The sequence below is a fragment of the Homo sapiens genome, chromosome 11, assembly GCF_000001405.40.
Source record: "Homo sapiens chromosome 11, GRCh38.p14 Primary Assembly".
NCBI classification, from domain to species: domain Eukaryota; kingdom Metazoa; phylum Chordata; class Mammalia; order Primates; family Hominidae; genus Homo; species Homo sapiens.
In genome coordinates this window covers 5,567,616-5,578,892 of record NC_000011.10, presented here as the reverse complement: position 1 = coordinate 5,578,892, position 11,277 = coordinate 5,567,616, and the positions used below count along the sequence as shown (strand labels likewise).

Below are 11,277 nucleotides of genomic sequence, written 5' to 3'. Positions count from 1 at the left end.
GTCTCAGCCTCCCAAATAACTGGGATTACAGGCGCCCACCACCATGCCCAGCTAATTTTTTTTTTGTATTTTTAGTAGAGATGGGGTTTCATCATGTTGGCCAGGCTGGTCTTGAACTCCTGACCTCAAGTGATCCAGCTGCCTTGGCCTCCCAAAATGCTGGCATTGGCCTCCCAAAGTGCTGGTGGCTCCCATATGTGAGCCACCACACCTGGCATATACGACTTTTATCACTGCCCAAATTCTGTTTTTCTCTCTCCACTGAATGTTTCTCTTTTGTAACTCACATTTCAGGACTATCAGGAACATATCCCTCATATTATTCCTTTCCTGTACATTTATTTATCTCTGCATCCATCCTCCCCTCATTTCCTCCAGTCCCAGAGAAAGAGGTGCCAGTATCTTTCCTATTTTCCAATGTTTCTTTTGTCATAGCTGGAACATATTTTACTTTACCTAAATATAAGACAAGTTTCTTGAGTTATTTTTTGAGGTGCTGGGAAATGAACCTAGGGCCTCGTGTATGAATATTTAACATATTAGATTGTTTTTAAAACAACCTTATACACACACAAACATACATATGCATACTTACATGCATGCATTCATATGTGTACATATATACATATGCATGTATATACATGTGTTTATGTGTATGAATGTATGTAGCTGTATCGTCAAGAATAATTTCCCCATCTATTCTCTGAATTACCTTTCTTTCCTACCAATTCAGGGACTTTGTTTCATCAATTATTCTCTGTCTTTATCTTCAGCTTCTCCTGATTTCCTGGATCTTTATTAAAGAATATTCAAATATTTTTAACTTGAAGACAAGCAAAAAATTAACAACAGCTATAATAAAAACATTTTATTCTACTAAACTCTCTTTTAAATTACTGTTTTGTCTCTCTTCTTTCCTTTAAAAATCATTCTTCCATGAAAGACCACTTTTGACTTTGATTTCTCTACCTTCCACCAGTTCTTCTCTTGTACCCTGGTCTGATCCTGCTCTCATTAAAGTCATCTCTCTCCCTGCAGAATGGTTTACTGTTTGTGTTTCCTAATGGTCTGTAGCAATCCTCTTCTCACTCTTTCCTCTCTCTGACCAATCTTGTCTACTACCTTGGCTCCATTTAGCCTTCATGTGCTAATATCTCCCAAATCTACATTGCCATTTATGTTGCTTTCCAGGCTCTAGATCCACTTATCCAAAGCCCTCCCAACTGGTCTCCTAGTCTGCAGTTCTTCTAGTCTCTAAACCATTCCTCATAATTAAACAATGTTCCCAAAAGATAATTTTGCATATGCACTATCTTGATTAAGGATAATAACTGCCCGTTGCCTGAAAGATTCATGCAACTAACACACACACACACACACACACACTCTCTCTCTCTCTCTCTGTCTCTCTCTCTCTCTCCCCCTCCCTGCTTTCTCTTTTCTTTGCTCATACTGGAAAGCATGTATGCCCCTGAAGCTACTCTTTTTTTCCTGTGGTCTTTTATACATTCTGCTTCTTCTACTTCCATCCTCCTCTTTAACATAGCCAGTCTATATTTCTCATCCAGAAAGATTTTTCTCATCCCTCCAAATGGCTGGATCAGCAACTTTCTCTGTACTATTGCATTCCCCTGCAGCCATCTCTCTTTCTCCCTATCTGTACTTACTGCACTAAAATATTTTCAGTCCCAATATATTGTGAGCTCTCTGTGAGCCAGGACTGTGCCTCATTTGCTATTGACTGGGTTAGAATTTACACTTAATGAATGTTCAAAAGTAGGTGGAGGAGGTACATTCCCACTTACTCAGCCATGTATGTAAGTTTACACTGACAACAACACACACCAGTACCACAAAAATCACAGGTTTCTTATCATAGATCTTCTGTTCTCATGTTCTCTTCGTGTCTGTAGTTGGTGCCACCATTGTGCTCATTCTTCCCACAGCACCCATCACTCATCACGTTCATCCTCTGCTACATGTTCCCACCTTTGTGGGTGACATCAGCGCTTGCAAACATCTTTCTTCTCCAACTTGACTTCAGTTCTCCTCCTAAATAATGAACCTCCAAGGTAGCCTGTGTCCATCTGGTGTCTCCCTGTTCTCCATCCCAGTAATTTCTGTTTTCACTCCAATTCAGGCATCCGTTAAAGTCTTCACACCTCAAAACTGAGTAACGCCACTTTAAGTGTCCATCTGGCAGCTCTTTGTAAAAAAAACCTTCCACTCCATATATACTTAACCCCCTTGTCCACGAGTTCCTCCTTCAGATATCTTTGGAACCTCCTATCTTTTCTAATATATCTTTTCCAATTAAACATCTCTTGGCCACCATGGAAATTTACATGTTTTAGAGTAGAATCAGGTCAGAGATAGACTATTCAAAGTTAAATACAAAATTAAATACATTAACTACAAGAATGGAAGCAGATTTTATTTACTTTCACTTGGCTTTAGGCTTCAACTCTGCAAGCCTGAGTTCCTTGGTTGGAAACTTGAGTAATACTGACCACATTTAATTCCCTCAGTCACTAACAATTCCTTATCCTGGCTTGTATTCCTAGTTTTCATTCTTAGGCAGTATACTTTGTTTGATAAATTCATATATACGATCTATTACAAATCTAGGCAGTTTCTATTAGAACTTTTTTTGTCATCTGTTGACTTATCCCTTATTGGGTTCCCAAAATATGAATGTTAGTTCCAAACCTTCTCTTCCTTCCTCTCCTCTAAGACCCAATACAGCAGATGGGCTAATCTCTGCAATGACGGAGAAATCTAGACCATCAAGCAAACATTCCTTTATCTTCTTTTCTCTGTACTCTGGCAATCCTCCTTCATCCTCTAATTCTCTTTCATTTTTTTTTAATGGGAGAAATTATCGCTTCTGCTATTTTAGTAAATTTCTACCACCTGTTTTTGAATCCTTTACCTGACTCCTCTGTCCAGGAACTTGACCCATTTATCCCTTATGCATGATCTCCCATATGCTGTAGTTTTCTTTCCACTGTTCCTCAGTGTCTCAGGACATAATCTATCTGTAATTTATGATTCTTGCATCCTCCTTGAGAGCAAAGGATTATTTACTCATCCAGTCTCTCCAACCTTACCTAGAAAGTGTCCCTCCAAACTGCCCTTCTTCCACTCCACCCCTCAGGAAAACACAATTCATTCCAGCTACCCATTATTCTCTCTGCCCCTCTTTGAACATTGCCCATTTCTCATCCTATTCCTCCATATTAATACTTCCTCTTCATCCTAAAAATATCTGACCCAGACTTACCTCCCTGATGTCACCTGCTCAGATTCACGGCTTCTCAATTCCACAATTCATACACAGCCAGTCTTCCTTAATATATAGAATCGAATCTCAGGTCTTGCCTCATACAGTGTTTATTCCCTCCTCTCTTCTGGGAGCAGGGATTCTCCTCCCTCTGTGTATCTTTCCCTTTCTCAGCTCCAATTCCCTCCCCCGCCATCAGGGCTGATTTCCCCCTCCCATTCAACGCAAGGACCTAAGGCACATGGTATATGCTTTGGCATAGAGCCAGATAGAAGAGATTATTGATAGACACTCTTAATATATGAAGAAGGGAAGGGCTCAGCAACAACTCAGAGGCTCTTGGCCTGACAGTGTTCATTAAATTTGTTTTTGCATTTCCTGTTCCAACACTAGTTCTTTTCCATGTCTTCAATTCCACCTTTGTTTCTCTCTTCCTAGTGTCCTTCGTAAAGTCTTTTTCTCTTGGGGTTTTTAAATTTATCACCTTCTTTGTGTCTGTCTGAAAACCCATGTTTCTTTTTTACCTTAGAGCTTTTAATTTACCCCTCCACTGCCCCTAAACATCTATTACATTCATATATTATTCTAAAGGGAGGGAGGTACAGGGATTATTACCCCTGTCTTGCTCACTGAAACATTTGACAATTCTTGATTGATCCCTTCATTGGGTCAGCATTTGAGGTCAATAGTTGAAGAAATCATGTCTCCTTACCATGAACAGTTACCATTAATCACAATACAGCAGTGAGTGCAACTTGCTGTGAGTCCAGAATCCAGATAAATAATTCATCTGGTATAGCTAGGGGAGGCTTCGAAGAGTATCAAATTGTAGTTAGTACTAGAGAGAGAGAGAGTATGTAAGGTTATTGTGAGTGCTTAATTGAAACAATGAATACGAAAGGACTTTAAAGATGAAATAAATGACAATGGCAATGCTTTCAAGAATATAGATTAAGGGGTAAGAAGAAAATAATAACATTAGAACCAGGGCAGAAATAGTAAAGACTAGTATTCAGGGTACAATAAATTGTATCAATCTGTCTCAGAATCTTTCAAAATTAAGATGACTCATTTTTCTGGGCCAGGCTTAACTTAGTTTTTCTTTCTTTTTTTTATAGATAATTCACTCACCATAAAATTTACTTTTTTAAAGTGTAAAATTCAGTGGCTTCTGGTTTATTCACTAGGTTTTTCAACTATGACTACTAATTCCAGATCATTTTTTATACCCCAAAGAGAATCTCCCTGCTTATTAGCCGTCACACCACATACTTCCCTCCCCATTGGCCTCTGGAAACCACTAATCCATGATCTGTCTCTATAGATTTTCCTATTCTGGACATTTCATCTAAATCAAATCACACAATTGTGATCTTTCAATGTGGTTTCTTTAACTAAGCAACCTGTTTTCAATGTTCACCTATTTCGTAGCATGTGCCAGTACTTCATTCCTTTGTATGGCCAAATATCTGATTGCATGGATAGAATGCATTTTATTGATCCACCCTTGGATTGATGAACATTTGGTTTATTTTCATTTGGGGGTTACTATTATAAATTGTGATGCCGTAAAACATTTGTGTGCCAGTTTCTGTGTGGATATGTTTTTATGTCTCCTGGGTATAGATCTAGAAGTGGAATTGCTGAATTATATGTTAACTCAAATTGAGTTTAATTGTTTGAGGAATGCTAGACTGTTTTTAAAAGTGGCTATACCATTTTACCTTCCCACCAACAGTGTATGAGGATTATAATTTCTCCACATCCTCACCAACACGTGCTGTTACCTGACACTTTAAATCTAGATCTTTTAGTAAGTGTGAGGTGATATCTCATTGTGGTTTTGATTTGCATTTCTTTGATCATCTGTTTATGGGTTCACTTGTCATTTCCATACCTGCTTTGAGAAATATCTATGCAAATTTTTTGCTTATTTTGGATATTTGCCTTTTTATTATTGAATTTTAAAGATGGCAAAGATTGCTTATTAATTCTAGATATAAGATCCTTATCAAATATATGATTTGCAATTTTTTTTTCATTCTGTCATTTTTTTTTCACTTTCTTAGTGGTGTCCCTTGAAGAACAATTTATTTTTTAATTTTGATGAAGTACAATTTATATTTTCTTTTGTTGCTCATGCTTTTGGTGTCATTTCTAAGAATACTTTGCCAAATCCAAGGTCATGATGGTCTCCCATTATGTTTTCTTGTAAGAGTTTTATAATTTTTGCTCTTTGTTTTGTGTATTGACTGAGTGTTATATATTGATCTGCAACATTGTTGGACTCATTTATTAGTTCTAATAGTATTTTTTAAGTGTATCATTTAGCACTTTCTTTTTTTTTTTTTTTTTGAGATGGAGTCTCGCTCTGTCGCCCAGGCTGGAGTGCAGTGGCGCGATCTCGGCTCACTGCAAGCTCCGCCTCCTGGGTTCACTCCATTCTCCTGCCTCAGCCTCCCTAGTAGCTGGGACTACAGGCGCCCGCCACCACGCCTGGCTAATTTTGTATTTTTAGTAGAGATGGGGTTTCTCCATGTTGGTCAGGCTGGTCTCAATCTCCTGACATCGTGATCCACCCAACTCGGCCTCCCAAAGTGCTGGGATTACAGGCGTGAGCCACCGCACCTGGCCAGCACTTTCTATATATAAGATCAGGCCATCTGTGAGTAGAGATAATCTTATTTACTATTTTCAATTCTTGGTGTCTTTTATTTTCTTTTATTTGAGCTGTGAATTTTTCATAGATGACCTTTACCAGGTTATGAGAGTTTTATTCTATACTAATTTGTTGAGTGTCTTCTTTTGAAGATTATCTTCTATTTGAAGGATAATTTTGCCAGATACGGAGTTCTTAGCTGGCAATTTATTTTCTTTCAGCATTTTAAATATGTCATCCCACTGCCTGCTCACCTTCAGGGTTTCTCATGTGCTATCAGCATTAATCTTATTCAGGATCCCTTGCACATAATGAGTCACTTCTCTCTTTCCTCTCTCTTTTTAAAATAAGGTGCTGCTGTTTTACTAAGAGGTATATGAATAATGGAAATGCCTCCTGTAATCCTAGCACTTTGGGAGGCCGAGGCGGGCGGATCACCTGAGGTTGGGAGTTCGAGACCAGCCTGACCAACATGGGGAAACCCCCTCTCTACTAAAAATACAAAATTAGCTGGGCGTGGTGGTCCATGCCTGTAATCCCAGCTACTTGGGAGGCTGAGGCAGGAGAATCGCTTGAACCCAGGAGGCGGAGGTTGAGGTGAGCCGAGATCATGCCATTGCACTGTAGCCTGAGCAACAAGAGTGAAAGTCTGTCTAAAAAAACCAAAAAATTTAAAAAATAATAATAACGGAAAATGCCTTTCTGCTTGTGGATGCCGCCGAAGAAGCATCATCAAAGTCTCTCTTCTCCCTTCCCTCATGTCTAAGTCAGAGTCTCCTAAAGAGCCTGAACAGCTGAGGAAACTGTTCATTGGAGGGTTGAGCTTTGAAACAACCGATGAGAGGCTGAGGAAGGAGCCATTTTGAGCAATGGGAACACTCATGGATTGTGTGGTAATGAGAGACCCAAACACCAAGTGCTCCAGGGGCTTTGGGTTTGTCACATATGCCACTGTGGAGGAGGTGGATGCAGCCATGAATGCAAGGCCACACACGGTGGATGGAAGAGTCGTGGAACCAAAGAGAGCTGTCTCAAGAGAAGATTCTCAAAGACCCACTTAACTGTGAAAAAGTTATTTGTTGGTGGCATTAAAGAAGACACTGAAGAACATCACCTAAGAGATTATTTTGACCAGTATGGAAAAATTGAAGTGATTGACTGAGGCATTGGCAAGAAAAGGGGCTTTGCCTTTGTAACCTTTGACAACCATGACTCTGTGGATAAGATTGTCATTCAGAAATACCACACTGTGAATGGCCACAACTGTGAAGTTAGGAAAGCCCTGTGAAAGCAAGAGATGGCTAGTGCTTCAGCCAGCCAAAGAGGTCAAAGTGGTTCTGGAAACTTTGATGGTGGTATGGAGGTGGTTTCGGTGGGAATGACAACTTTGGTCATGGAGGAAACTTCAGTGGTTGTGGTGGCTTTGGTGGCAACCATGGTGCTGGTGGATATGGTGGCAGTGGGGATGGCTATAACGGATTTGGTAATAATGAAAGCAATTTTGGAGGTGGTGGAAGCTACAGTGATTTTGGCAATTACAACAATCAGTCTTCAAATTTCAGACCCATGAAGGGAGGAAACTTTGGAGGCAGAAGCCCTGGCCCCTATGGTGGTGGAGGCCAATATTTTGCCAAACCTCGAAACTAAAGTGGCTATGGTGGTTCTAGTAGTAGCAGTAGCTATGGCAGTGGCAGAAGATTTTAATTAGGAAACAAAGCTTATCAGGAGAAGAGAGCAAGAGAAGTGACAGGGAAGCTACAGGTTACAATAGATTTGTGAACTCAGCCAAGCACAGTGGTGGCAGGGCCTAGCTGCTACAAAGAAGACATGTTTTAGACAAATACTCATGTTTATGGGCAAAAAACTCGAGGACTGTATTTGTGACTAATTGTATAACAGGTTATTTTAGTTTCTGTTCTGCGGAAAGTGTAAAGCATTCCAACAAAGGGTTATAGTGTAGATTTTTAACTTTTTTTGCACCTATGCTGTTGAATTCTAAATGTAATAGTCTGATTGTGACGCTGAATAAATATCTTAAAAAAAGACTGGAAATAACTAGAAATTATAAAATATAATAAAAATGATAATAAAATGGCTAAGAAATGTGTGGAAAAATTTTCAACCTCACTAGAAATAGAATATACCCACCAAGCTAGCAAAGGTCAAAGAATTATGAGCCTATCGATTTTTTTTAAGTCTATACTTTTTATTTTTTACCAAAGAGGTGACACATTTTATTTAAATGCTTTACTTCTTTGAGATGGAAAGTGAATACTGCCATGCCAGAGTGCTTACTATGTGCCAGCTCTGGCACTAAGGCAATTAAGACAAATAATTTAGGAGGAATAGGAACTATTTGAAAGCATTTTCATATAAAAATGATTCTAAAGGAAATGTGCTCAGAAGCTTTGGAACAAACTCACTTCTCTCTTGATGCTTTCAAGATTTTCTTTTTGCTATTGGCTTTCAACATTTTCATTATTATGATGTGGATATCTAGTTTATCCTACGTGGAGTTCTTTGAGCTTCTTGAATGTGTAGAGTCATATTAAAAAAATCAAATTTAGGGAGTTTTTTTTGCCATTAGTTTTGCAATATTCTTTCTGCATCTTTCTCTCTTGCCTCCCTTTCTAGGACTCTCACTATGAATATGGTGGTATACTTGGGTATGTCCCAAATGTTTCTGAGTCTCTGTTTATTTTTTGTCTTTTTCTTTCAATTCTTCATATTGGATAATCTATTGATGGGCATTTGGGTTGGTTCCAAGTCTTTGCTATTGTGAACAGTGCTGCAACAAACATACGTGTGCATGTGTCTTTATAGTGGAATGATTTATAATCCTTTGGGTGTATACTCAGTAATGGGATTGCTGGGTCAAATGGTATTTCTGGTTCTAGATCTTTGAGGAATCGCCACACTGTCTTCCACAATGGTTGAACAAATTTACACTCCCACCAACAGTGTAAAAGCGTTCCTATTTCTCCACATCCTCTTCAGCATCTGTTGTTTCCTGACCTTTTTTTTTTTTTTTTTTTGAGACGGAGTCTCGCTCTGTCACCCAGGCTGGAGTGCAATGGCGCAATCTCGGCTCACTGCATCCTGACTTTTTAATGATCACCATTCTAACTGGCATGAGATGGTATCTCACTGTAGTTTTGATTTGCATTTCTCTAATGACCAGGGTTGATGAGCTTTTTTTCATATGTGTGTTGGCTGCATAAATGTCTTCTTTTGAGAAGTGTCTGTTCATATCATTTCATATCTTCCTGCAACTAGCTCAGTGTCTGCCCAAACGGCCACCCAGTTTTGTGCTTGAAACCCAGGGCCCTGGTGGTGTAGGCACCCGAGGGAATCCCCTGGTCTGCAGGTTGTGAAGACTGTGGGAAAAGCATAGTATCTGGGTCGAAATGCACTGTTCCTCATGGCACAGTCCCTCATGGCTTCCCTTGGCTAGGGGAGGGAGTTCACCAACCCCTTGCGCTTCCTGGGTGAGGTGATGCCCCACCCTGCTTTGGTTTGCCCTCTGTGGGATGCACCCACTGTCTAGTCAGTTCCAATGAGATAAGCCGGGTACCTCAGTTGGAAATGCAGAAATCACCCACCTTCTACACTGATCTCGCTGGGAGCTGCAAACCGGAGCTGTTACTATTCGGCCATCGTGCCAGCCACCCTTCAGTTTTTCCAAATTTTAACACCAGAATGTCTATTTGACTTCTTTTTATAAATTGTTTGTTGATATTTAATATTTGGTGTGATGTTTTTCTCATATTTTCCTTTAGTTGTATAGACATGATTTCCTTTAGCTTTTTGAATATATTTAAGCCAGCTCATTTAGTCTTTGTGTAATAAGTCTAACATCTGGGTTTTTTCAGGGACAGATTTTATTGACTTTTCTTTTTCCCGTGTATAGATCACATGTCTTATATCTTTGAATGTCTCATAATTTTTTTTGTTAAAACTGGAAAATTTAAACAATGTAAAGTGATAACCCTGGAAAGTAGATTCTCCTCCATTCCCAGGATTTGCTGTTGTTGCTAATTATTATAGGTTTTTCTTTTTTAAGTCACTTTTTGGACTATTTCTGTAAAGGTTTTCTTGTTTGTCATGTACAGCCACTGAATTTTCTACTCAGTTATCTTAGCGGTCAGCTAATGAACAGAGATTTTCTTAAATATTTGTGAACAATCAATGTCCCAGGTTGCTGAAGGGCTTCACTGGCATTTTGAGGCACACATTAAACACTTAGCAGTGCAGTTTACAACCCTTTCTTTGCCTCCATTTCCTGCTTTTGCAGAGTATTAAGGAGAGCAACAGGTGAAAGAATAGGGCCTCCTCGCAGCTCTTCACAAGCACCTGAACTTCTGGATTCCCACAGATATGTCAGTCCTTTTCAAAACATGGTTAAGTAATCCTGGAGAAGGTTTTCAGAGGACATTAGCACTTTCGAGAATCATAAATAATAGGTAGAATTTAGACATTGAGAGAAGGCAAGATTGCACTTTTGGAGTAAAATATAAGCAGTGAGATGTAAGAATGATGGAGAATATATGAAGTCCTATATGGATATGCTTTAGGGGAGAGTTTTAGACACATTCACATAGGTAGAACCCATATATACGGGAAAGAGATTGCCTGTTGAGCAGGGAAATAAAATGTATTCTGTAGGCATAAAGGGAATAGTTATGTGCTTTTACACAAGATTGTGAGTGACTTGATAGTTTCCTGTTTTCAGGGACCAATAAGGTAGCACAATTAGGTAAAGGTTTGCAAAATATTGACAGAACCAGAATAAGAATCAGCATTCTCATTCTACAGTTCCAATTAATAATCAGGATGGGTTCAAGTGAGGCAGTGGTGAAGAAATGGAGTAGGCAGATAAAAGAGGGGTTCCAAAAGAAAATCACAGAAGTAGGAAAAGAAAATACTGGGTTTGAAGGAGGAGGAAGAGTCATAGTCAACCCTCAGATTACATCCTTGAGAAATTTCAGACTGAATTAGTTAGTGAGAGGAAAACAGTCTTGGAATTTTAGTTGACAACAAAGGGCCAGTATTCTCTCAGGTTATGGGTCTGGTGGGACATGGTCCAGATATACTAACAAGGTGGTCATGGTAATGGCTATAGGCAGGAAATAGTGGGTTTAATTAATACCTTTTGTCAGCCTTTGATAAATGATGTAAAGGTTATGACAATAGATAGATTGTGTTTTTCTTCGTGTTTGTTACATGATAAAGGCAAAGGGATCCAAGTTATAAAAAAGACTTAAATGGATTCAAGGCCAGTCAGTCTCAGAATCAAATGTGACATTTTGTCCTCAGTGAATGGCAATCACCACGA

The 11,277-nt window shown here is 39.2% G+C and overlaps 1 pseudogene; it reads left to right on the top strand.

Annotated features, from left to right (window-relative positions):
• On the top strand, positions 6,640-7,978 carry HNRNPA1P53 (heterogeneous nuclear ribonucleoprotein A1 pseudogene 53; annotated as a pseudogene).